Source organism: Homo sapiens, chromosome 6, assembly GCF_000001405.40.
Source record: "Homo sapiens chromosome 6, GRCh38.p14 Primary Assembly".
Lineage (NCBI taxonomy): Eukaryota > Metazoa > Chordata > Mammalia > Primates > Hominidae > Homo > Homo sapiens.
Genome location: NC_000006.12, coordinates 125,387,495 through 125,415,418, shown reverse-complemented (window position 1 = coordinate 125,415,418; position 27,924 = coordinate 125,387,495). Strand labels below are relative to the sequence as shown.

General features: G+C 40.6%; 1 long non-coding RNA gene across 6 annotated transcripts in view, besides 1 other annotated feature; it reads left to right on the top strand.

Annotated features, from left to right (window-relative positions):
- LOC102723341 (uncharacterized) overlaps window positions 1–27,924 on the top strand; it is a 75,143-nt gene that overhangs the window by 29,761 nt on the left and 17,458 nt on the right. The window contains exons 2-3 of one of the 6 annotated variants that reach the window (NR_187741.1): window positions 6,797–6,925; window positions 10,481–10,794. The exons of 3 other annotated variants lie outside the window; for them this stretch is intronic. This is a non-coding gene — a long non-coding RNA (uncharacterized LOC102723341). Of the gene's footprint in view, window positions 1–6,796; window positions 6,926–10,480; window positions 10,795–27,924 lie in introns of those variants that run through there. 2 more of the 6 variants (NR_187738.1, NR_187742.1) reach the window with 2 other exon arrangements.
- Window positions 24,841–25,389: an enhancer, noted in NCBI's record as "H3K27ac-H3K4me1 hESC enhancer chr6:125711176-125711724 (GRCh37/hg19 assembly coordinates)". NCBI's record gives its function as "activates a minimal SCP1, AML or CMV promoter by ChIP-STARR-seq in primed H9 embryonic stem cells {active_cell/tissue: H9 hESC(primed)}" and the evidence as "EXISTENCE:reporter gene assay evidence [ECO:0000049][PMID:30033119]".

Genomic DNA, 27,924 nt, shown 5'->3' with positions numbered 1-27,924 from the left:
TCAGTCTGAGGGCTCAAGGAAATACAGACAATAGTCTGAAAAGACATTAATTACACCTCAGTACTTTTTTGCCTATGGGAGAATTCTGTGTGTTTGCTACATGGAAACATTTGTTTCAATCTAGACATGTGCAGCTCAGGAAGTATGGATGAATGTGATTGCAACGGGAGCGAAGAGGTAGGGAGCTAGGAGAGATGCCAAAAAATGTGGGCACACCATGAGGTCCAATAGGAACCACACTTTAGTCAGAAGATATGGTCCTATGGTCATTCTATTGCATTGACAACCTCCCTATCCCTCTACAACACTCATGTCCTTCACTCCATAAACCTTGACCTTGTTATACGTAGCACATATATTCTTATATCTCTATCTATTAACATATATGTTTCACAGTAGGTTTAGATATCCTGTTGGCTCTTAAGAACCTTGAGGTCAACCTTTATATCTATTTTCTTTTCTTCTGCCCTGGATTACTCTATGATTTGTGGCTTTGAATAAATGTTACTGACTGATATGGTTTGGCTGTGTCCCCACCCAAATCTCATCTTAAATTCCCACGTGTTACTGGAGGAAGCCAGTGGGAGGTAATTGAATCATGGGAACAGGTTTTTCCTGTGCTCTTCTTGTGGTAACAAATAAGTCTCACAAGATATGATGGTTTTAAAAAGGAAAGTTGCCCTGCACAAGCTCTTTTTGCCTGCTGCCATCCATGTAAGACATGACTTGCTCCTTTATGCCTTCTGCCATGATTGTGAGGCTTCCACAGCCACGTGGAACTGTAAGTCCAATTAAACTTCTTTGTTTTGTAAATTGCTCAGTCTCAGGTATGTCTTTATCAGCAGCATGAAAATGCACTAATACACTGACCAAGCTATTTACATTTTGCAATCTCAGAAAATTCTTTATGAGAAGAGTAAGAATTCTATGAAGACCTGTGACTAAAAACATGATGTGAAGGACAGCTCTGGCTAACATGGCTGTGCTGTCTTATTTATGTATAGGAGTTTTGTTTTTGTTTTTGTTTTTGTTTTTAGGACAAAGCTACCAATTTTTAACCCATTTATTCATTTGTTTTTAAAACAAATATCAAGTACCTGAGTATTACTCTTAGTTAAATTCAGAAAAGAAAACTGAGATTTCTGTTTCATATACACCTTATACACACAACCTGAAGGTAATTTTATACAATATTTTAAATAATTTTGTGCAGAAAACAAAATTTTGACTGTGTTTTGACTGTGAGCCATGATAGAAGATCAGGTGTAAAATTTTTCACTTTTGGCGTCACGTCAGTGCTCAAAAATTCTTGGATTTTGGAGCATTTTGAATTCAGATTTTCAGAACAGAAATGCTCAACTTGTGTAAGAGAGAGCAAGCTTACTTTTATATACTTGTATTTCTTTCTGTTAATGTCTTATTCGTGTTCTTTGTTCATTTTTAAATCATTTTTGTTGCTCTTGATTTATAATAGCTCTTTGTATATTAAGAAAATTAGCCCCCATCTGTCATATGCATCTTAAATATTTCCTATCTGTTCTGTGATTTTCATATTCTTATTTCTTATTTATTTTATACGTTATAGAACTTTAATATTATTATCCAGTCAGATTTGTCTTTTTTTTCATTTTGGATTCTTGGTTTTATGTCATCTTTAGGAAATCCTTCTCCATTTCATGATGATTTTGAAAAATCTAGTGCTTTTGTATTTTTAGTGCCTCTTTACATACGTGCATACATAAAATTATTATTTCTCACCACTGCAAGTGAAGTGTAACAAAAGCATGAAATGGTCAAAACTTGAAGGCAAGCACTGGCTCCGACACTTTGCTGTTTCATCAAGCTCTAGTCTTCAAGCTGTTGTCCTCTCTACAAAATGTAGATCAAGATAAACATTTCACAAGGACTTCATGGGGCTTAAATTATATTTGCAAATAAAAGAAATTTATAAACAAAAAAAATCGTACGATAGCTAACTATAAGCAATACTTAATAATTGAAATTAGTAATTGTTTATGCTATGGACTGAATGTGTCTCCCTCAAATTCTCGAGCTGAACTTCTAACTCGCAGCATGATGGTATTAAGAGCGGGGGCCTTTGGGAGGTAATAAGGTTTAGATGAGGTCATGAGGGCTAGAGCCTCCACGATGGGATTAATACCCTTCTAAGAAGAGGAACAAACACCAGAGCTTCCTCTCTGTGCCATGTTAGGATACAGTAAGAAGGTAACCATTTGCAAGATTAGAAGCAGGCCATTACCAAAACCCAACCATGCTAGACCCGGATCTTATGCTTCAGTCTTCAGAACTATGAGAAATAAATGTCAGTTGTTTGAGTTACCCAGACTTTGATATAGCAGCCTAAGCAGACTAATACAATATACTTGAATTTAATAATTTGATTAAAAGTTTCCAAGGACATATTAACGTGCGAAGGCAGGTCTAGTGTAGGAGTTTGAAATACATTACTCACTAGTGGAGAATGCCTATCCCTGGTCCTGTTGCTATTGACTCTGCATGTCATACATAGAGTCTGCTTAGATTCAGGATGATGAAGAAAGGAACATTTATACTTTTACTTATGATATGCCACTAGAATACACTTCATGTCAACACGAGGCAAATTAACCAAGAGATCAGACTCCAAATTCTGGAAATAATCATCAAAAGCTAAATGGTTTGCTTCCAATTCAACACTTCAAAGATGAGCAAATTAGTAAGCCGAAATAAAAGTTTAAAAACCTCATCAGCGTAGATGAAAGAGAATTTTCCAAGATTTTGAAAAATTTAACCGGGTTCAGCTGACTTAAAGATTTTCATGACGTTTTCTTTTATTCAATTAAACCAAATACATGACCATCTTTGATGCGTTAATGTTTTGGAGGTATCCTCCAGCTCCAATACAGTCTTATTGTCATTATGAAGTAAGAGTTTCTGGGTCTTTTAACATAATTAAAAAGATGGGCTCCAGGCTCTGTCTTGGAATATAAAAGCTCATCTCATGGTACTGGGTGTATTCTTGCATTTTAAGTAAGATCTAGTTGGTTCCTTCTCCAAACTTGAGGAGAAAACGTAAGTTCTATGGTCATAAAAATAAAATTTGGTTCAATTTTTCCCTTTCCATCTAGGCTGCCCTAGAGAATGATCTGGACAGTCCAGCAACTGAGCTTGCAGATGTGGCAGCCAAAAGCAGCCTTTTGGACATCTGCATGAGATGCTGGCCTTCATGGCAGCAGAAGGCCATGAGGAGTCTTGAGCAGCAGAGGCACTTTCCCACTTTCAACCTCCTTTAAGCTTTAGTATTATTGGTCTGTGTGGCCCCAGGAAGAGCTATTTCTTCTCATGAAAGGAGGACACAGTCTCTTTTCCTTTCCTCTTCTCTGCTGTTGCCCTTGCCTGCCTTGTTTTTCTGGTACTGGGAAGTGCCCGGCTCCTCCCTTCCTCCTGGGAGGAAACAAAGTCAATTTCAAAATGACATAGTTATCTATCATTTTCTCCAAAGAACATAAAGCATATTTCTATGAAATTTCTTGTTGAATAGCTCTTGGAAACATAGATGACAAATACTAAGTTTTCAAACACGAAAAGTTCTAGCAAAAGGCTATCCAGGGACTTTCTGTAAGAGAAGAGTTTCAGAGCTATTTACTGAGAGGTGTGAATGCTTTCCTATATCACATCCCATTTACAAAATTTCTGCAATGGTAGTCTCTCTGTTCCTGTACATACAAATAAGCCAGAATACTTTTACAAATTAAAAACTGGGGTAGTAAACATAAAGAAAAGAAGTACTCCGGGCTCCTTGATATTGCACTATGCTTTCAGAATTTCTAATGGGATGTGGGCAAAGACGGATGTTATGGTGTTCCCCTTTTCTAAAATATTTTTTAAATATACCAGCTAATAAAAACAATCCAGTCATTTATGAAGAATAATTTTTTGATTACTTTTTTAAAAAATCAGATCTCTCAGGGATGAAAGGAATAATTTTGGAAATACGCTGGGTAGAAATGTGCATGTAGAAGGCCCCAGGTCAGGAAGATCCTTAAGTGGAAGGACAAGGAAGGACTGGGAGTTGGTTGACACATAAGATCCTTGGAGTTTTCCAAGCCCAGCTGTTGAAGCCATGGTCACAACTGCTTGTTGTTTCCATGAGTCACATTAAGAGTGCTTAGACGAGTGCAGTCATCAAAGAAGCTATGGCTTCTGGTTAACGCTGCCATAAATATGCCACAGCTAGCCCTTCCTCGGACTACAGACAAATTTGGTGTGCTTTTTGGGTCATTTTAGTGAAATGCTTACTTTCATTTCATGATTTTTGGCACTATTCCAATTGCTAATAAAAATAACTGGGAAAGAGACCCTTCTAAATATATACCATTAGCTCCTAAATATACATCAGCATCTCAGAAAAACTCCTTTTGGCCCTCTGGGATAAATGTTTTTATGTCTGTGTCTATGTGATAGCCAACAAATGGTATTAGAAGTAACTATTCAGACTCTGGGATCAAAGTGTACATTTCTTAATATATAAACTAGTTCCACCAAGCCAAATAACCACAATAGGCTTAACTGTCTTGTAAGCAGCCTGTACAGAGATTCTAGACCAATCTTGGATATCCAAGAAAGACAGTCCTAGAATGGAGAAGAAGCACTTTTGCTGAGGAATACATTGAGATGTGTTCAATTCTAAACAAATCATTCCATCTTTCTTTTTTATTTTTATTTTTATTTTTATTTTTTGAGATGGAGTCTCGCTCTGTCGCCCAGGCAGAAGTGCAGTGGCTTGATCTCGGCTCACTGCAAGCTCTGCCTCCCGGGTTCACACCATTCTCCTGCCTCAGCCTCCCAAGTAGCTGGGACTACAGGCGCCCACCACCACGCCCAGCTAATTTTTTGTATTTTTAGTAGAGACGGGGTTTCACCGTGGTCTTGATCTCCTGACCTCGTGATCCGCCCGCCTCAGCCTCCCAAAGTGCTGGGATTACAGGTGTGAGCCTCTGCGCCCGGCCAAATCATTCCATCTTTCTAGGGGTCATTGTCCAAGCTTAAATAGACTCTGGCATGTAATCCCACAAAATTAAACATTTCAATTCCAAAATTATTACTGAGTGCATTGGATAAGCAAGCTATGTTCTCAAACTGTGGGGTTAAAATACTGAAAAATTAGATATGGTCCCTGCCTTCCAGGATTATGCACCAGATAATGAAATAAACATGCAAATTGAGGGCCCAAATGATTATGTGGCCAGAAAAATAATTTTTAAAATGTAATTCTCCCCAAAATAAGTTAGATTTCAATTAAAAGAGGTTAAATGCACTGTTTTCTTCCTCACTTAATTTCTTTTCTCCACTTTGGTATATTCCCCTCCCCAGTGCCCTTCCTTCTGACCCTAATGATGTGCCCAGTCCTCTCCATTCTTTGAATGCTTCCTGGAATCTTTTTTTTTTCAATTAAATTTTTTCTTTATATTATATTTTCATGACAAATCATACAACAGAACCACACACAGCAAGCATATATTAACCAAACGTTAACCTATTCTGAGTTGTTATTAAGAAGAGACACATGCACATATAAAAAATAATGAGCTTCTAGATGACAGAGAAAATGATCACTGGTGCCATCATGAATTCTGTAAGAATAAGTCATGGCATATTGTATTAGTTCATTCTCACTCTGCTATTAAACACATACCTGAGACAAAGAGGTTTAACGGACTCACAGTTCCACATGGCTGGGGAGGCCTCACAATCATGGCGGAAGGCAAGGGGGAGCAAAGTCATGTCTTACATGGCGGCAGGCAAGAGACACTGTACGGGGGAGCTCCCATTTATAAAACCATCAAATCTCTTGAGACTTATTCACTATTATGAGAACAGTATGGGGTAAACCATGCCCATAATTCAATTATCACCACCTGACCCTGCCCTTGGCACATGGGAATTCTTACAATTGAAGGTTAGATTTAGGTGGAGACACAGAGCCAAACCATGTCACATACCATCTTCTTTTCTTTAGTTAGCAAATTGACAGGACAGCATTTAGAAATGCAGTAGTCAAAAGCCTCCAAAGAGAATGTTTTTAACCAGTAATGTCTGGAAGAAAGTTCAGTTAAATTAATTCTTTTGTTGAACAACTGTGCTCAATGAGCATTCAACCAAGCAAACCCGATGGGAGATTCTATTCAAGTACATAGGGCCCTATCCTCAGCTCTATCCTGCTCTACATTATAACCAAGGAGTAGGATTAGGTTATATAAAATTAGAGTAAATTTTCAGATCCTTTGAGGCTCGGAAGAATAACTTATTTTATTTTCAGAACCTGAGAGACTTTTCAGATGCTTGAGAAAAGAAATGCATCTAAGATTCAATTTTACAGCAATAAATATAAAGTCCTGTATTTTAGAGAAAAAAAACAAAATAAAGGGTGGGTGAATTATGGCATGGCAAGGTTAATGACCTAGAGGCTTTAGTTCATAATTGACTCTTGATCAGTAGAGGTGCACTATGGCTTATAAGGAAGTGATTTACCATGTAGCAGGTAAATCAAGGAGTTAACAGTTCTATTCTACTCTACTCTGGGTTGTCTATACAGACTGCGCCTAAAATATTTTCTATGGGCAATATATTTTAATAGTAGACAAATAAGATTGCATTTAATAGAGTGTCACCTACATGGTTGAAAAAACTGCAGATAATTTTACTTAAAAAAAAAGTTTCCAGGAACTAGAATAGTGGGAGAAAGACATGCACATTATGGTTGCCTACAAATACGTATGTTCTTTTTGGATTCCAGGTGTGGGGAAAAGAGTGACTTCACCTTAAATGTTAACCTGCCATGTAACTTCTGACTAATCCCAGGTCCAGAAATGCCTCCAAATGTCTCGTTGCTGTATTACTCTTTATGTGGAAACACCTGTTCACTGTAAGTTTCCTCCAAAACAACTCCTGATGCTGTTGCAGAAATCATAGGCTGTGACACCCATAGTCACCTACACATTCTCTCTAGAGCATGTATACTATACTTTCCCCAAATATAAGCCCTGGGTCTGGGGTGTTGTGGTATGGAGAGCTACCTGTTTTGCAGCCACCCAAGACCACACTTTCAACTGTAAGTTCCGCCTAGTAAATCATCCCATCTCAACAAACTGGATTTATCTGCCTCCTTCTTTGGTTCCACAACTCCTTTGGCCCTTGGGGGCCACTTTGCATATATGGCCCTTTCATAGAACACAAAGTATAAAAGAAGGCCCAGAAGATAAAAATAACAGATAACATAGAATTACTGAATAAAAATGTTTGAAAGACAGACTAGGTTGTTTTGCGGGAGCAGGGAATTCTCTTTTTGGAGAGGATTTGGGTATCTTTAGAGATTTGAACCAATGGCCTTTGGGCTAGTATCTATTGGGAGACAATTCTCCATTGACCACTCATGTTTTTCCATATTTTGTGAGCAGAGTTACTGACTGTGTTTTAAACATAATCTTGATTAAAGTATGGTGAGGCACAAAGAGAGCTGCTTTGAAATCACAGAAGTTTATTATTCTCACAGTTCTCTTAAGAGAAAATACAGCATGCCATGTGGGGCCACATAGGGGAAGATCAGGATCAATTATAAGGTAGAAAGAGAGTAGATAAGTGCCTTACAGTGGTTTCTACTGGGAGAAGGAAAGGATACACTGGGAAAGGATACACTGGGTGAAGGAAAGGATACAGTGGTTTCTGCTGAGGCAGGAAAGGATACACTGGGACTGGTTTGCTATATTTAAAAGTGTCACCCCTATAAACTCATGCGGGGCTAAGAGTGTGGGGATGTCAGGTGGTTATCTCAGGTCCCTAATTGTTTACCTAAAGTGGTTGACATTCCATCTTGAAGATGTTAATTCATCAAGTTACAGAAACTACAAAACGTGGTTTATATAGATTGCCTCTGTGCCGAACTATATTTTCAAATTTATTTATACAGCAAACAGCCTTAGAAATTAGATATAGTGTCTCCTTCCAGAGCAAAGTGTGGATTTGTTTACTGTTCAGTGTAATAAAGGTAGCTTCTCTTTTCCTGGTAAAGGGCAGGCCAGATTGCTGCCTATTATAAAATATTTGGGTTCCCTAAGCTCATGATTCCTCTCCTCTCATGCATCCACGGCACATGCAGGTATCATTTGGTCCTCTTTGTATTGCTTTGTGGGAACTGGGGCTCAGGGAACCAGAGTTAAAATACTGATACTTTGACTACCGCTATTTCTGTGAATAACAAACTCTCCTTTGTCTATGTCTTCTGCCAGCATCCAAGAAACTGCAACTGACTAACTTGTTAGCCTGCAAATAGGATAAAATTTGAGACCCTTTTTAGTTCTTGGCAGTACTTTTTGATACTGTAATTCCGTAATTTTAAAAAAACTGGAGATAATGCCTTCATGCAAACATGGTATTCTAACAGTGAGAATTCAAGTGCCTGGTATGAGAGAGAGGTGACTAAGAGTAGGCAGGACTTTGAAGAGACTATTGGGACAAATTCCATGGACCACCATCTGTTCAGTCCCTGTTACAGCCAGTTCTGCTTTAGTGGAAAATCTTTAGCATAACACATGGCAGCAGAAATACAGCCACTTCCCAGGGAAATTGTGTTATTTCAAACTTTGACTGAACAAAGATAATCTCTTTTGGAAATATGAGGTAACCTGTACTGTATTTGATTCCATACAATAATTGGTGATATCATACAAAATTCCTCTTATTTTATATCATATTGTCCCCAAAATATATGAAGGCTTATCTATATAAGGAAGATACAGATGAGAAGACACCCTCTGAACCAGCATTAGACACAATCCATGAGGAAGATCCCAATCTTTCTGGTTCTTCTGACAAATTTGACTTCCATATTTTTCATGGGCCCCATATCAACTGGCTGTGATTCTCATTTGATGAATAAATTTAATTACCAGTGTTCCCTTATCTGTTCTTTGATTCCTGGATCCATCTTATCTTCTCATTCTTTTCCCATTAGTTTCTCAGTTCAAATTGATTACCTGTTCCCAATCTCAGTTTTTAATGGCATTAACTTTCACCCCTACTCTCTCCATCCCCATTCACATCTGTGGTTCCCACCTCAGTCATAGCATCTTCCTCTAAAGACTGATGCAATAATTCACCTGCCCCCTGAGTGCAGGTGAGCCTCCCACACCAGCAGTGCTTTGCTTTGACCACCCTGTTAATATCATTCACTATGGTCACTGGTAGAAACTGTCACAGCCTGGATGTAATCACTCACATTTTGACATTTATTTATGTCTTGTACTGGAATTGGGGAAACTATTTGTTTTGAACTAGGAATTGGATTTTAGACAGAAGAAAGGTATCGGTATAAACAGTTTCATTTTTGGACAAAATGTGCAAAATGTATATTCATTAGGAATCAGTATTCAGACCTTCTCTGATCTTTATTAATTGTTGTAGCGCACCAAGTTGGTAAATTAAGTTATTCTTGGAAATGAAAGCCCACATTGGAGGATAAAAATCATGAGAAACATTTAATAAAAGTATGCAATTTATAGAAATACAGCAAAAAATAATCAGTGTGAGCCATTGTAAGATAATATATTTTAGAGAAAAAACATTTTTAAGTTAATTATGATTATTGTCTCTAAGCTACCAAAGCAACTATATGCTAGCAACTGACATAATTATTGCAGACTGTTCTCAACATCCTTCCATGACCAAAAAAAGCTGAGCAACATTGTCTGGTATGAATCAGATACAGAAACACACTGCCACCACCCACATATATGTTATCCCTTTCCTTACACAAAACCTGGTGAGTTCATACTGGATTATGATGTCTTGATTGATACACCTGACAAAAGACATGATAGAGCTAGAGAAGAACCAAAGGAAAGTAAAAAATATTCAATCTATGGAAGATTTTAATACCAAGAGAAAGTAAAAATAATTAAAATAAATGGACATTCATCTCAAAAGACATAGGGAAAGAGGACACATTTCACTGGCAACTCTTAGAAAAAAACACTTTTAAGAGGTAACAAACTAGCTGTCTTAAACCAGCAGCCATCTTTGTACTTAATGATGCCCTATTATGGGCATTCTCATTAAAAACTAGAACAACTTAAGGACAGTTACCCTAACCATTGTCATTTTTTGTGTGTTCTTGGATTTGCAGCCTATGCAATGAGAGAGGAAATAATCACAAAAGTAATAATTTTGGAATGAAGACAACTTTGTTGGTTTACTCTCTGCCATCTCCTGTCCTGAAGTTAAAAACTGCTGGAGAAAAGCATACAGCCGTGATGACTGTTCTTAGTTAAAATTTTTGCTCACTAATCTCCAGTGGTAGTTTAATGCTGCCCTAAAATTTTTATATATTTACAAATTTCATTCACTTTACCACTTTTCTAGATGATTATTTACATGTTCTGCTCTTGCTGAAATCTTTAATACCTCCTTTCCATGTCATTTTCAGGCTATTTCACTGAACTGAAGCAGTCAAAAGAGAATGCTCATGAGATCCCATCACCACCACTTTACCGAACTACTTCCATATGTGACTATTTACTCTTTCTTCTTTTCTATTATTATTGATGAACTGGCCATGTACCTAGCTAAGGTGGATCCTGCCACTTAGATATTAGATCTTATCTACCCTTTCTCACTCTGAAATATTGTTCCAAGAATTCTTTTCTTGTATCATTACTTTTCCCTGTTTACTAGTGTAATAAGTATAGAAATATGCTGTTATTTTCCCATATTAAAAATTCTCTTGAGTAGGAAGCTCAATATAGTAAAGATGTTAATTCTTTCTCAAATTGATATAAATTTATCAAATCAATTATTTATTAATTTAAATTGATCTACATTCCTCCCAAATTGGTCAGCATTCTAAAAATATCAACATTATGTGTGTACGTAAAGAGATAAGATGTTTCTGAAGTTTAATGAAATTGAATGGGACTTGAAGAACAGAGTTCAAGGAATTGCACTATTGAATATGAAAATCTATTCAAGATGAAGAGTGTTGGAGGAATTACATGATGGATGTTAAGATTTGTTATAAAGTTGCAAGACTAATAATGCTATAAAAAGTAGTCTTCAACCAGGTGCAGTGGATCACATCTGTAATCCCAGCACTCTGGGAGGCCATGGCAGGCAGATCACTTGAGGTCAGGAGTTCAAGACCAGCCTGGCCAACATGGCAAAACTCCTCTCCATAAAACATACAAAAATTAGCCGGGTGTGGTGGCACGTGCTTGTAATCCCAGCTACTTGAGAGGCTGAGGCATGAGAATCGCTTGAACCTGGGAGCCAGAGGTTGCTGCGAGCTGAGATTGCACCACTGTGCTCCAGCTTGGACCACAGGGCAAGACTCCATCTCAAAAATAAGAAAAAAAAAAAAAAGGAAACAAAAAGTAATCTTCCAGATTAACAGAGCTGCAAGAATTGCATTGCCAAATATTATGACTTATAATTTACAGAAATTGAGATGGTCAGATATTTGTGTAAGAATAGACAGGTTAATGAAACAGAACATGAAATACAGACAAATATTCACATGTATATGGTCACTTGATTTTTGACAAAAGTATCACTGCAGTGTATAAAGGAGGTTCTTTTTCATAAATGGCATTGAATCAACTATATGCTCATATTGTAAAAATGACTCCTAGCTCACACCATATACTAAGTCTCTTCCAGATGAACTGTACTCTTTCCCGTTTCAGTTAATGGACACTATGTCCTTCCAATTGCTCAGAACAAAATTTTTGGAGTCATCCCAATCCCTCTTTTTCTCTTTTATTTCACACTGAATACATTGGCAAATTATTTCAGGTCTTCCTTATAGTGTATCCAGCATTAAATCAATTATCACCATTTTAAGACTATGTGTTGGTCCTAGGTATTATTTATTCTGTCTTGCCTAGATTATTACAACAACCTCTGTGTTAGTTGGGTTCCTCCAAAACCTGACTCTAAGAGGGTAATCCCAGGAAGCATGGTAGGATAGTGGGAGAGTGTAATAGGAAAAGCCGATGAAGCGTGCATGGATGAGTGAGTTAATGCTGTTTGACACTGAAGGCTAGTTCTACAGGGCACCCTCTAATAGACTATATAGAAAACACGTCAGAATTGTCTCACTGAGGAAAATTGGAGTCTTTAGGCACCAACTCTCTTCCGAACTTGGTAAGGGTCAGTTCTAGGCATACGTCCCTGGCACTTTCGTGCTCACTGCTTTTCAGGCAGAGAAAAAGGAAGCAGTTAATATACGTGGGGATTGTCTACATACAGGTGTCTCAGGGTGAACCAAGGCTATAGGAAGGGGTGACTACAACTTCTACTCTACTTTCCAACTGGTCTTACTTCTGTCCTTTTAAATCTGGTCTTAACACAGTCAGAACCACAGAATCTATGGCATCTCATGCCACTTTTATGCTGAAAATCATCCAACATCTCCCCAAATCACTCCAAGTAAAAACTCTAAATACCATCCATAAGAACCTCCAAAATCTGATCTTTCATTACATTAAAAATATTTTATATATGACTATTCTGTTTCAGATTTGCTCTGAGTTCCTTAGTCAGAAGTTACTCTTTTAGTGAGGCCCTCTACTCCAAAAATTTCAACACCCACTCTTGTTATTTTATATGCCTCTTCTCTGCTCAATTGTTCTTCCTTTGCTTTAAGCACCATTTATCCTAGTTTATACATTATTTTTGTAAAATTTGGTTTATTGCTCTTCTCTCCTGCTGGAACTATAACCTCCATAATCTGTTTTGGGTCTTTTTGTTGTTTTTCATTTTTTGATTGCTTCAGTACTGTATTCTCAGTGCTTATTAAGTTTGGCTGACACATAGTAGATACTTACTTGTCATTGAATTAATAATGTAATTTGTATATAATATGATTTTCTTTTGACAAAATCCAAGATAAGCTAATAATTAATAAAATATGCTTGTAAGAAGCAGTTACAAGGCATAATAAAAATATTAGGCCTAATAAAAATCTAATAATCTAATTGTTAAAAGATCTAGTAATACTTTGTCAAGAAATGTCTGAGTTTATGCTAAGAGAACAAATATTTACTGAGCTATAAAAGAAGGTTTTACGATATGGAGAAATATACCATATTTCATGGAAAATGAAACATGAAATATGTTTTTCTTTCTTTTTTATTATTATACTTTAAGTTCTAGGGTACACGTGCACAATGTGCAGGTTTGTTTCATATGTATACATGTGCCATGTTGGTGTGCTGCACCCATTAACTCGTCATTTACATTCGGTATATCTCCTAATGCTATCTCTCCCCCCTCCCCCCACCCCACAACAGGCCCCAGTGTGTGATGTTCTCCTTCCTGTGTCCAAGTGTTCTCATTGCTCAATTCCCACCTATGAGTGAGAACGTGTGGTGTTTGGTTTTTTTTGTCCCTGTGATAGTTTGCTGAGAATGATGGTTTCCAGTTTCATCCATGTCCCTACAAAGGACATGAACTCATCCTTTTTATGGCTGCATAGTATTCCATGGTGTGTGTGTGCCACATATTCTTAACCAGTCTATCACTGATGGACATGTGCGTTGGTTCCAAGTCTTTGCTATTGTGAATAGTGCCGCAATAAACATACGTGTGCCTGTGTCTTTATAGCAGCATGGTTTATAATCCTTTGGGTATATACCCAGTAACGGGATGGCTGGGTCAAATGGTATTTCTAGTTCTAGATCCTTGAGGAATCGCCACACTGTCTTCCACAATGGTTGAACCAGTTTACAGTCCCACCAACAGTGTAAAAGTGTTCCTATTTCTCTATATCCTCTCCAGCACCTGTTGTTCCCTGACTTTTTAATGATCGCCATTCTAACTGGTGTGAGATGGTATCTCATTGCAGTTTTGATTTGCATTTCTCTGATGGCCAGTGATGACGAGCATTTTTTCATGTGTCTGTTAGCTGCATAAATGTCTTCTTTTGAGAAGTGTCTGTTTATATCCTTCGCCCACTTGTTGTGGGGTTGTTTGTTTTTTTCTTGTAAATTTGTTTGAGTTCATTGTAGATTCTGGATATTAGCCCTTTGTCAGATGAGTAGATTGCAAAAATTTTCTCCCATTCTGTAGGTTGCCTGTTCACTCTGATGGTAGTTTCTTTTGCTGTGCAGAAACTCTTTAGTTTAATTAGATCCCATTTGTCAATTTTGGCTTTTGTTGCCATTGCTTTTGGTGTTTTAGACATGAAGTCCTTGCCCATGCCTATGTCCTGAATGGTATTGCCTAGGTTTTCTTCTAGGGTTTTTATGGTTTTAGGTCTAACATTTAAGTCTTTAATCCATCTTGAATTAATTTTTGTATAAGGTGTAAGAAAGGGATCCAGTTTCAGCTTTCCACATATGGCAAGCCAGTTTCCCAGCACCATTTATTAAATAGGGAATCCTTTCCCCATTTCTTGTTTTTGTCAGGTTTGTCAAAGATCAGGTGGTTGTAGACATATGTGGTATTATTTCTGAGGGCTCTGTTCTGTTCCATTGGTCTATAGCTCTGTTTTGGTACCAGTACCATGCTGTTTTGGTTATTGTAGCCTTGTAGTATAGTTTGAAGTCAGGTAGCGTGATGCCTCCAGCTTTGTTCTTTTGGCTTAAGATTATCTTGGCAATGTGGGCCCTTTTTCGTTCCACATGAACTTTAAAGTAGCTTTTTCCAATTCTGTGAAGAAAGTCATTGGTAGCTTAATGGGGATGGCATTAAATCTATAAATTACCTTGGGCAGTATGGCCATTTTCATTATATTGATTCTTCCTATCCATGAGCATGGAATGTTCTTCCATTTGTTTGTGTCCTCTTTTATTTCGTTGAGCAGTGGTGTGCAGTTCTTCTTGAAGAGGTCCTTCACATCCCTTGTAAGTTGGATTCCTAGGTATTTTATTCTCTTTGAAGCAATTGTGAATGGGAGTTCACTCATGATTTGGCTCTCTGTTTGTCTGTTATTGGTGTATAAGAACGCTTGTAATTTTTGCACATTGATTTTGTATCCTGAAACTTTGCTGAAGTTGCTTATCAGCTTAAGGAGATTTTGGGCTGAGACAATGGGGTTTTCTAAATATACAATCATGTCATCTGCAAACAGGGACAATTTGGCTTCCTTTTTTCCTAATTGAATACCCTTTATTTCTTTCTCATGCCTGATTGCCCTGGCCAGAACTTCCAACAGTATGTGCGATAGGAGTGGTGAGAGAGGGCATCCCTGTCTTGTGCCAGTTTTCAAAGGGAATGCTTCCAGTTTTTGCCCATTCAGTATGATGTTGGCTGTGGGTTTGTCATAAATACCTCTTATTATTTTGAGATACGTCCCATCAATACCTAATTTATTGAGAGTTTTTAGCATGAAGGGCTTTTGGATTTTGTCAAAGGCCTTTCCTGCATCTATTGAGATAATCATGTGGTTTTTGCCTCTGGTTCTGTTTATATGCTGGATTATGTTTATTGATTTGCATATGTTGAATCAGCCTTGCATCCCAGGGATGAAGCCCACTTGATCATGGTGGATAAGCTTTTTGATGTGCTGCTTGGATTATCAAAAATAAAATTGAGGATTTTTGCATTGATGTTCATCAGGGATATTGGTCTAAAATTCTCTTTTTTTTGTTGTGTCTCTGCCAGGCTTTGGTATCAGGATGATGCTGGCCTCATAAAATGACTTAGGGAGGAGTCCCTCTTTTGCTATTGATTGGAATAGTTTCAGAAGGAATGGTACCAGCTCCTCCTTGTACCTCTGGTAGAATTCGGCTGTGAATCCTTCTGGTCCTGGACTTTTTTTGGTTGGTAGGCTATTAATTATTGCCTCAATTTCAGAGCCTGTTATTGGTCTATTCAGGGATTCAACTTCCTCCTGGCTTAGTCTTGGGAGGGTGTATGTGTCCAGGAATTTATACATTTCTTCTAGATTTTCTAGTTGATTTGGGTAGAGGTGTTTATAGTATTCTCTAATGGTAGTTTGTATTTCTGTGGGATCAGTGGTGATATCCCCTGTATCAGTTTTTATTGCATCTATTTGATTCTTCTCTTTTTTCTTCTTTATTAGTCTTGCTAGCAGTCTATCAATTTTATTGATCTTTTCAAACAACCAGCTCCTGGATTCGTTGATTTTTTGAAGGGTTTTTTGTTTCTCTATCTCCTTCAGTTCTGCTCTGATCTTGGTTATTTCTTGCCTTCTGCTAGCTTTTGAATGTGTTTGCTCTTGCTTCTCTAGTTCTTTCAATTGTGATGTTAGGGTGTCAATTTTAGATCTTTCCTGCTTTCTCTTGTGGGCATTTAGTGCTATAAATTTCCCTCTACACACTGCTTTGAATGTGTTCCAGAGATTCTGGTATGTTGTGTCTTTGTTCTCATTGGTTTCAAAGAATATCTTTATTTCTGCCTTCATTTCGTTATGTACCCAGTAATCATTCAGGAGCAGTTGTTCCGTTTCCATGTAGTTGAGCAGTTTTGAGTGAGTTTCTTAATCCTGAGTTCTAGTTTGATTGCACTGTGGTCTGAGAGAGAGTTTGTTATAATTTCTGTTCTTTTACATTTGCTGAGGAGTGCTTTACTTCCAGCTATGTGGTCTATTTTGGAATAAGTGCGATGTGGTGCTGAGAAGAATGTATATTCTGTTGATCTGGGGTGGAGAGTTCTGTAGATGTCTATTAGGTCTGCTTGGTGCAGAGCTGAGTTCAAATCCTGGATATCCTTGTTAACTTTCTGTCTCATTGATCTGTCTAATGTTGACAGTGGGGTGTTAAAGTCTGCCATTATTATTGTGTGGGAGTCCAAGTCTCTTTGTAGATCTCTAAGGACTTGCTTTATGAATCTGGGTGCTCCTGTATTGGGTGCATATATATTTAGGATAGTTAGTTCTTCTTGTTGAATTGATCCCTTTTCCATTATGTAATGGCCTTCTTTGTCTCTTTTGATCTTTGTTGGTTTAAAGTCTATTTTATCAGAGACTAGGATTGCAAACCCTGCTTTTTTTTTGTTTTCCATTTGCTTGGTAGATCTTCCTCCATCCCTTTATTTCGAACCTATGTGTGTCTCTGCACATGAGATGGGTCTCCTGAATGCAGCACACTGATGGGTCTTGACTCTTTATCCAATTTGCTAGTCTGTGTCTTTTAATTGGAGCATTTAGCCCATTTACATTTAAGGTTAATATTGTTATGTGTGAATTTGACCCTGTCATTATGATGCTAGCTGGTTATTTTTCTCGTTAGTTGATGCAGTTTCTTCCTAGCATTGATGGTCTTTGCAATTGGGCATATTTTTGCAGTGGCTGGTACCAGTTGTTCCTTTCCATGTTTAGTGCTTCCTTCAGGAGCTCTTTTAGGGCAGGCCTGGTGGTGACAAAATCTCTCAGCATTTGCTTGTCTGTAAAGGATTTTATTTCTCCTTCACTTATGAAGCTTAGCTTGGCTGGATATGAAATTCTGGGTTGAAAATTCTTTCTTTTAAGACTGTTGAATTTTGGCCCCCACTTTCTTCTGGCTTGTAGAGTTTCTGCCAAGAGATCCGCTGTTAGTCTGATGGGCTTCCCTTTGTGGGTAACCCGACCTTTCTCTCTGGCTGCCCTTAACATTTTTTCCTTCATTTCAACTTTGGTGAATCTGACAATTATGTGTCTTGAAGTTGCTCTTCTCGAGGAGTATCTTTGTGGCATTCTCTGTAATTCCTGAATTTGAATGTTGGCCTGGCTTGCTAGGTTGGGGAAGTTCTCCTGGATAATATCCTGCAGAGTGTTTTCCAACTTGGTTCCATTCTCCCCATCACTTTCAGGTACACCAATCAGATGTAGATTTGGTCTTTTCACATAGTTCCATATTTCTTGGAGGCTTTGTTCATTTCTTTTTACTCTTTTTTCTCCAAAATTCTCTTCTGGCTTCATTTCATTCATTTGATCTTCAATCACTGATACCCTTTCTTCCAGTTGATCGAATTGGCTACTGAAGCTTGTGCATTTGTCACGTAGTTCTCGTGCCATGGTTTTCAGCTCCATCGGGTCATTTAAGGATTTATCTACACTGGTTATTCTAGTTAGCCATTCATCTAATCTTTTTTCAAGGTTTTTAGCTTCTTTGCAATGGGTTCGAGCTTCCTTTAGCTCAGAGATGTTTGATCATCTGAAGCCTTCTTCTCTCAACTCATCAAAGTCATTCTCCATCCAGCTTTGTTCCATTGCTGGCAAGGAACTGCGTTCCTTTGAAGGGGGAGAGGTGCTCTGATTTTTAGAATTTTCAGCTTTTCTGCTCTGTTTTTTCCCCATCTTTGTGGTTTTATCTACCTTTGGTCTTTGATGATGGTGACGTACATATGGGTTTTTAGTGTGGATGTCCTTTCTGTTTGTTAGTTTTCCTTCTAACAGTCAGGACCCTCAGCTGCAGGTCTGTTGGAGTTTGCTGGAGGTCCACTCCAGATGCTGTTTGCCTGGGTATCAGCAGTGGAAGCTGCAGGACAGCAAATATTGCTGAACAGCAAATGTTGCTGCCTGATCATTCCTCTGGAAGCTTTGTCACAGAGGGGTACCCGGCCGTGTGAGGTGTTAGTCTGCCCCTACTGGGGGGTGCCTTCCAGATAGGCTACTTGGGCGTCAGGGGCCCACTTGAGGAGGCAGTCTGTCTGTTCTCAGATCTCAAACTGCTAGCCACCATGAATATTATATAGTACTATAAATGCTTGACTGTACATAGTACGTATAAAACCAAGTCTCACAATAATCACCTTGCAAACATGCTTACAAGCAAGAACTAGAATACCTTGACTAACTATAACACATTAAACCCACCAACCAAGAGAAATCCTTCACCACAAGCATACCAACCAGTATGCTTGGAGAACCACTACTCTCTTCAAAGCTGTCAGACAGGGACATTTAAGTCTGCAGAGGTTTCTGCTGCCTTTTGTTCAGCTATGCCCTGCCCCCAGAGGTGGAGTCTACAGAAGCAGGCAGGCCTCTTTGAGCTGCGGTGGGCTCCACCCAGTTCGAGCTTCCAGGTCACTTTGTTTACCTACTCAAGCCTCAGCAATGGCGGACGCCCCTCCCCCAGCCTCACTGCCACCTTGCAGTTTGATCTCAGACTGCTGTGCTAGCAATGACCGAGGCTCCACGGGCATGGGACCCTCCAAGCCATCTGCGGGATATAATCTCCTGGTGTGCCCTTTGCTAAGACCATTGGAAAAGCGCAGTATTAGGCGGGGAGTGATCCGATTTTCCAGGTGCCGCCTGTCACAGCTTCCCTTGGCTAGGAAAGGGAATTCCCTGACCCCTTGCACTTCCCAGGTGAGGCAATGCCTCACCTTGCTTTGGCTTATGCTCGGTGGGCTGCACCCCCTTTCCTGCACCCATTGACCAACAAGCCCCAGTGAGATGAACCCGGTACCTCAGTTGGAAATGCAGAAATTGCCCATCTTCTGCATCACTCATGCTGGGAGCTGTAGACTGGAGCTCTTCCTATTCGGCCATCTTGGAACTGCCCGAAACATGAAATATGTTAATTCTTCCCAAAGTTATTTATACATTTATTCAAGTCCAATAAAATTTCACAAGGTATACATTTATGACATTAAAAATTTTGTAAACTTCATTTTGAAGAATAAAGAGACAAACTTAGTCAAGAATATTTGGGGACAAAATGTTTTAAGAAGTTTGAAAAAGAGTAGCTAGGGAAGAACTTATGTTATAAGGTATTAAAACTTTATATAAAATTTAATATGGTGCTAAAATCAGTAGACAGATTGATGTAACAAAATACATAGGCCTGGTGTTGACTGTAATATATAAGAACCTAATATATGATGAAAGAAACATCCTAAACCAATGGGGAAAATATCTTTGAACCAGTATTTTCACTGTCTGAAATTCATTCTAAGAAGTTAGTAAAAGAGAAAGTAAAAAATTCCTGAACAAATAAATTAATCATAGCACTATTTAAAATAACAAAAGGTCAGAAAGAACTAACCCTTTTATAACAAAGCAGAGTGGTTAAATAAACTATAGCAGATCCATATTATGAAATATGCAGCAATTAAAATTATATCTTTATCAATTTTATTGATATGAGTAAATAGCTATTATAAAGTTTCAAGATACTATAGATCTAATATAATCATAAATGTACATCAGCTACATAATATGTATAAAATGACTGCAAAGATATAAACAAAAATCTTATAAATACATTTATATAAATGGAAAAAGTATGACATGTTTAAGTCTATTAAATAAAAATAACTATAAGGACGAATTACATAAGTTTATAAAATTATTAAGGGAATATATAGAAAAGTGAACACTGACTTTTCTACTAAGTCCTAGAATTAGGAAGGTCCTCCTCAAATCTTGAACATTGCACACCTAGAAAAAAAATTCAGAGCTGCTTTAAATTATGGGTATTGTAGATGCCACTGGAGATGGATTCTAGCCTTGAGAAAAGTCATTTTGGATAATTATACTGCTATATATTACCACAGTCACAAATAGTTCATAGCCACATTTCAAGTACAGATGATTCAAAAAGTTTTTAATGTAAATGGAACTTTAAAAGTTATTTTCTCCCTACTACCTTTATCTCTTTAAACACATCTGGTATCTACAGATAAGATACAAAAACAGATTCTTAATATAGTTTGGCTGGGTCCCCACCCAAATTTCATCTTGAATTGTAACTCCCACAATTCCCACATGTCTTGGGAGGATCCTGGTGGGAAGTGATTGAATTATGGGGGCGGGTCTTTCCCGTGCTGTTCTCGTGATAGTAAGTCTCACGAGATCTGATGGTTTAAAAAAAAAAAAAAAAAACAGGGGTTTGACTGCACAGGTTCTCTCTTTGCCTGCCACCATCCAAGATGTGACTTGCTCCTCCTTGCCTTCTGCCATGATTGTGAGGCCTCCCCAGCCACGTGGAACTCTGAGTCCAATGAAACCTCTTCCCTTTGTAAATTTCCCAGTCTTGGGTATGTCTTTATCAGCAGCATGAAAATGGACGAATACAATTCTATTGCCAAAATTATATTTTTATCTTTTAGAAAAATAAATGTAAATTTAGATATGCTCCTGGTTAGTAGATGCTATAAAAATTATTTGATATATTTTTTAGCATTAATTTATATGCCCCTAATCTAAATAGGGCAAATTTCATCAAATCTTCTTCAAACCAAAAGATTACATAAATAGAAAAGATTTGCATTATAATTATAGAAAAGACAGAGTTTTAAAAAATTATCTTGAACTATTATACACAGCTAAAATTTTAACTTTACCTGAACACATGGCATCACAGAATACCCTATTTTTAAATTTTGTCCCATTAAATTTGCTTTGACAGGCAAAATCCAGCCATCTCATTAAGTTTTCAGTTTTTATTAGGACCCCAAGTGTGATTTTTAAATAAAATGGTTTTAATTTAAAAAAAAAAACCAGAAAAGTGAAATTTGAACTGTACCTCTACCCTTAATCTCCATCTCAGAGAAATGATTCCACAATGTCTTTTACCTGTTAAAGAGCAATCGCCTAAAAATAAAAACATGCTTCCCCACTGCAGCCAAGAAAGCTTCTGTTCTAAGAAAAAGATGTATTTCCTTGTTTTGATGATGTTCATCTTTTGTGGCCTGTCACCGCTGAAAGAGAGCTTTCAATTCCCCCCAAAACCACAAAATACCCCACTTCTCCCTCATCATTGTGGTTACCAGTTTATTTATCAGTTGTGGCAAATGGTCACCCTTTATACCATACTTAGCTAAATATTGTTTGTTTTAGGAACAAAGCACAGAGGACAAATACTTCAATGTGGTTTTTCATTTGGGGAGGGAGTGGGACTAACACTTGCATTCCAGCTGATTCTCAGCCTCTCAGCCCTGTGCTCTTGAGGCAGCTGAAGCTTCAAAGAGTCCTCCAGACTCTGAGGAGACACTTAGGCTCTAACTTGCACAGGGGAGGCAGAATTAGATTGGGTGCAATTAACCTGAGAAGTCTATAGATTCTACGCCCTAGGCAAGGAGAAAGATGGAAAGACTGCAACAGCACCCTGGTTTAATTATCATATAAACAGATCATAAGGAAACAGTGTCTCTTCTTTTAAGGAGCCTCTGCAAGGGAGTTTTTTTGGTCAGGATTTAGGCTGATTCCAGCAAACTAAATATGGAATGAATGTTAATTCAAGAGAAATCAAAATTAAAAGAAACCACCTCTACCCAAGGCCACCCAATACGATAAAGAAAATCCCTTTCAAGCCTAAAATATTACTACTGGGGGTCCATGACAAAGGAAAGAGTATACTCTATTTTATTTGATGAAAAAATTCATTAGTCATGACCCACTGAACTGATTTCTTGGTGCACTAATGGGTCATGATCCTCAGTTGGAAAAAACACCAGTCTTATGGGAGCCCATTTATGAGTTGGAAAAAATGTAGATTGGATGCTGTGAGTGGCCCAGATGCGTAATTCTTCAAGGTAGTGTGGCCTGAGAAAGAGGAAGTATAGGGTTTCAGCGGGGCCACCAAGGAGAAAAACCTACATTTTCTTCCCCAGCATTGGATTTCCTGGTGTCAGAATCTGAGGTACAATAGTGTGGGCTGTTTCAATAGTCTTGCCCATTTGTTTTTCTACAAATCTATCTGTCAAGTTTTGATAAGACTGTCAGTTCTGGCTTTCACTGTTACCAGTGGGACACTGGGCAAGAAGTGTGGTACGAATGGGGAAAAAACACTGTGGGGTATTGGATAAAAGCATAGGCTGTGGAGTCAGACAGGCTTTGAAGCAAATTTCATCTCTGCCATTTACTAGTTGGTTACCTTGCCAATTTACTTAACCTCTCTGATATGTTTTTTCAGTGGAATTTATTGTGACACCAAAGCATGTAGCATAATACTGGGTACAGGATGCTTAATAAACAGTAGATATGTGATGTGATTCTTTTTTTTTTTTTGGGGGGGACAGAGTCTCGCTCTGTCACCCAGGCTGGAGTGCAGTGGCATGACCTCAGCTCACTGCAAACTCCACCTCCTGGGTTCACACCATTCTCCTGCCTCAGCCTCCCAAGTAGCTGGGACCACAAGCACCCACGACCACGTCCGGCTAATTTTTTGTGTTTTTTAGTAGAGACAGGGTTTCACCGTATCAGCCAGGATGATCTCGATCTCCTGACCTCGTGATCCGCCCGCCTCGGCCTCCCAAAGTGCTGGGATTATAGGCGTGAGCCACTGCACCCAGTCTGTGATGTGATTTTTAATCAAGGCTCTACTAGTAATAGCTGTGTGACCTTGTACCAATCACATAACATCTGTGAGCTGAGAGAAGCTATGAGCCTATCTTCCTCTTCTCTTTACAAATAATGCATCAATTAAACCATGGATCATTGGCCTAGAGAGAAGTAGAAAGTAATATCCTTCCTACTTCTCTCTAGGCCAGTGACCCATGGTTTAATTGATCCATTGTCTGTAAAGTGAGGGGCTTGAATGAGAGGTGTAATGTGCTCCCCAGCTTTAGATTTCATTAATTCCTCTAGGAATTTGGGAATACAGTGACCAGGTGATGGAAATGGATCTGCCAGCTAGATTTGCAGAAAAGGCCACTTTTGAGCTTTCTTCTATCATCCAGACACTTGCTTCTTTTAGAAACTGCCTTGTTTGTAAAAATTCTTCAGAACGCATTTCAGGAACAGAATAGAATTATAAAATCAAACTTTTAACTACATGTTTCAGCAGCAAAATAAGCAAGCTGCAATGACATGATGCAGTGTTGCCTAGATGCCTGATGTCATGAGAGGTTTTGCTATATATCACTGGTGAAGATCGGACTGTAAGTAAAGTTTTCCTGATCTGATTATTATGAGATCTTCTGCCTCTTTGATGGTATAAGGATTATACAAAGGTACCTTTTTTGCTTTTATATTTTAACCTCAATAATCAGTTGTTTCTCCATTAAAGAGAGAAAGGTAATCTTTACTATTAGAAAAATGATTCCTGTTCTCCTTTTATCCCAAGTGCCCTTCCTACTTCTCTCTAGGCCAATGATTCATTGTTTAATTTATTAAGTGACTCAAAATGACATCCCTCAGTTGACCCTGAGCTTTCAGTCTTCTCCTTTTCACTTTCTTCTGGCCTAAAATAAATGTACTCCTTCTTCCTATGCATTTACCTACTTTTGGTCAGAATTCATGCCCTTCTCTAGGTTGGGTTGTTTTTGCCTCATCCATGTCTATGGGATCTCTTTCATTCTCCCTCCTCTCCCTTCTCTGCACCTTCATGTTAGTGTAGGTATTTTACTATTTCTCACCCGCACAATTGAAAGCATCCTATTGGGTCAGCAAGCCTCCTTTTTCCCCTCATCTCAATATAGTCTTGCTAAAATTATTAGCCAAAACACTCTAAATAATATCACCGAGTAAGTCAAAACCTTGCTTTAAAATCGTCAATGACTTAGTGCTTAAAGAAAAGGAAAAAAGAAAAAATCCAAGCTGGGAATTCTCTATTCCTAGGAAACTCCTTATTGGTTTGCTGTTTTAAAACTATCCTATCAGGCTTCTGCTCAGTCAGATATTGGGACTAGTACTAGCTAAACTTGTGCTAAGACATAAATGACTATTCACCTGGGTAAAATTATATGAAATCACCAGTTCAGATCTTTAACAGCACGTAGCACAGTGAACTTTGGCAGAGAAGGCAAAAATGAAGGGAGCCCATGATTGTCCCAAGGTACATAATCTTAAAAGCAGACAGAAAAACACACATCACCTACAGGAGAATGATAATAACAATGACTAATAGTGATAATAATATTAATAATAATAATAATAATGCCTTCTCATCAGAAATAATGGAAATAGAATAATGAATTACCATTTTTTTCTTAAATGAAAAAAAAAAAAGACTGTGAACCTAACATTCTGTAACCAGTTAAAATATCCACCAAAAATGAAGTTGAAATAAAGAGATTATCAGACTAACCAGATCTGAGAGAATACATTGCCAGGAGACTTCAACTACAAGAAGTGTATAAAGAAGGTCTTCAGGTGAAGGATAATGATATATGAAAACTTGATTTTACACAAAGGAATAAAGGGTGCCAGATACGGTTAGTATACAGGCAAATCTAAAATTCTTTTTCATACTGTAATTTCTTCAAAAATTAATTGATTCTTTAAAGCAGAAATAACAAAATATCATGGAGTTTAAAATATACATAGCAGCTCCCTCTCCCGTCTCCCTCTCCCTCTCCCGTCTCCCTCTCCCTCTCCCGTCTCCCTCTCCCTCTCCCGTCTCCCTCTCCCTCTCCCGTCTCCCTCTCCCTCTCATGCCGAGCCGAAGCTGGACTGTACTGCTGCCATCTCGGCTCGCTGCGGCCTCCCTGCCTGATTCTCCTGCCTCAGCCTGCCGAGTGCCTGCGATTGCAGGCGCGCGCCGCCACGCCTGACTGGTTTTCGTTTTTTTTTGGTGGAGATGGGGTTTCGCTGTGTTGGCCGGGCTGGTCTCCAGCTCCTAACCGCGAGTGATCCGCCAGCCTCGGCCTCCCGAGGTGCTGGGATTGCAGATGGAGTCTCGTTCACTCAGTGCTCAATGGTGCCCAGGCTGGAGTGCAGTGGCGTGATCTCGGCTCGCTACAACCACCTCCCAGCCGCCTGCCTTGGCCTCCCAAAGAGCCGAGATTGCAGCCTCTGCCCGGCGGCCACCCCGTCTGGGAAGTGAGGAGCGTCTCTGCTTGGCCACCCATCGTCTGGGATATGAGGAGCCCCTCTGCCTGGCTGCCCAGTGTGGAAAGTGAGGAGCGTCTCTGCCCGGCCGCCATCCCATCTAGGAAGCGAGAAGCGCCTCTTCCCCGCCGCCATCCCATCTAGGAAGTGAGGAGCGTCTCTGCCCGGCCGCCCATCGTCTGAGATGTGGGGAGCACCTCTGCCCCACCGCCCTGTCTGGGATGTGAGGAGCGCCTCTGCTGGGCCGCAACCCTGTCTGGGAGGTGAGGAGTGTCTCTGCCCGGCCGCTCCGTCTGAGAAGTGAGGAAACCCTCTGCCTGGCAACCGCCCCGTCTGAGAAGTGAGGAGCCCCTCCGTCTGGCAACCACCCCGTCTGGGAAGTGAGGAGCGTCTCCGCCCGGCAGCCACCCCGTCCGGGAGGGAGGTGGGGGGGGTCAGCCCCCCGCCCGGCCAGCCGCCCCGTCCGGGAGGTGAGGGGCTCCTCTGCCCGGCCGCCCCTACTGGGAAGTGAGGAGCCCCTCTGCCCGGCCAGCCGCCCCGTCCGGGAGGGAGGCCGGGGGGGGGGGGTCGGCCAGCCGCCCCGGCCGGGAGGTGAGGGGCTCCTCTGCCCGGCCGCCCCTACTGGGAAGTGAGGAGCCCCTCTGCCCGGCCAGTCGCCCCGTCCAGGAGGGAGGTGGGGGGGTCAACCCCCCGCCCGGCCAGCCGCCCAGTCCGGGAGGGAGGTGGGGGGTCAGCCCCCCGCCTGGCCAGCCGCCCCGTCCGGGAGGTGAGGGGCGCCTCTGCCCGGCCGCCCCTACTGGGAAGTGAGGAGCCCCTCTGCCCGGCCAGCCGCCCCGCCCAGGAGGGAGGTGGGGGGGTCAGCCCCCCGCCCGGCCAGCCGCCCCGTCCGGGAGGGGGGAGGGGGGGTCAGCCCCCTGCCCGGCCAGCCGCCCCGTCCGGGAGGGAGGTGGGGGGATCAGCCCCCTGCCTGGCCAGCCGCCCCGTCCGGGAGGTGAGGGGCGCCTCTGCCCGGCCGCCCCTACTGGGAAGTGAGGACCCCTCTGCCCGGCCAGCCGCCCCGTCCGGGAGGGAGGTGGGGGGGGTCAGCCCCCCGCCCGGCCAGCCGCCCCGTCCGGGAGGGAGGTGGGGGGATCAGCCCCCTGCCTGGCCAGCCGCCCCGTCCGGGAGGTGAGGGGCGCCTCTGCCCGGCCGCCCCTACTGGGAAGTGAGGACCCCTCTGCCCGGCCAGCCGCCCCGTCCGGGAGGGAGGTGGGGGGAACAGCCCCCCGCCCGGCCAGCCGCCCTATCCAGGAGGTGAGGGGCGCCTCTGCCCGGCCGCCCCTACTGGGAAGTGAGGAGCCCCTCTGCCTGGCCAGCCGCCCCGTCCGGGAGGGCGGTGGGGGGGTCAGCCCCCCGCCCGGCCAGCCGCCCCATCTGGGAGGTGAGGGGCACTTCTGCCGGGCCGCCCCTACTGGGAAGTGAGGAGCCCCTCTGCCCGGCCACGACCCGGTCTGGGAGGTGTGCCCAGCGGCTCATTGGGGATGGGCCATGATGACAATGGCGGTTTTGTGGAATAGAAAGGCGGGAAGGGTGGGGAAAAAATTGAGAAATCGGATGGTTGCCGGGTCTGTGTGGATAGAAGTAGACATGGGAGACTTTTCATTTTGTTCTGTACTAAGAAAAATTCTTCTGCCTTGGGATCCTGTTGATCTGTGACCTTATCCCCAACCCTGTGCTCTCTGAAACATGTGCTGTGTCCACTCAGGGTTAAATGGATTAAGGGCGGTGCAAGATGTGCTTTGTTAAACAGATGCTTGAAGGCAGCATGCTCGTTAAGAGTCATCACCACTCCCTAATCTTAAGTACCCAGGGACACAAACACTGCGGAAGGCCGCAGGGTCCTCTGCCTAGGAAAACCAGAGACCTTTGTTCACTTGTTTATCTGCTGACCTTCCCTCCACTATTGTCCTATGACCCTGCCAAATCCCCCTCTGCGAGAAACACCCAAGAATGATCAATAAAAATAAAAAATAAAAAATAAATAAATAAATAAATAAATAAATAAAGAAAAAAAAAATAAATAAATAAAAAAAAAGAAAAAAAAAATAAAATATACATAGCAAACAATAATACAAAAATGGGAAGGGAGAAAATGGAAGTATACTATTGTAAGATTCTTACCATATACATAAATTAGTATGATACTGGGGGTAGACTCTGATAGATTAAAA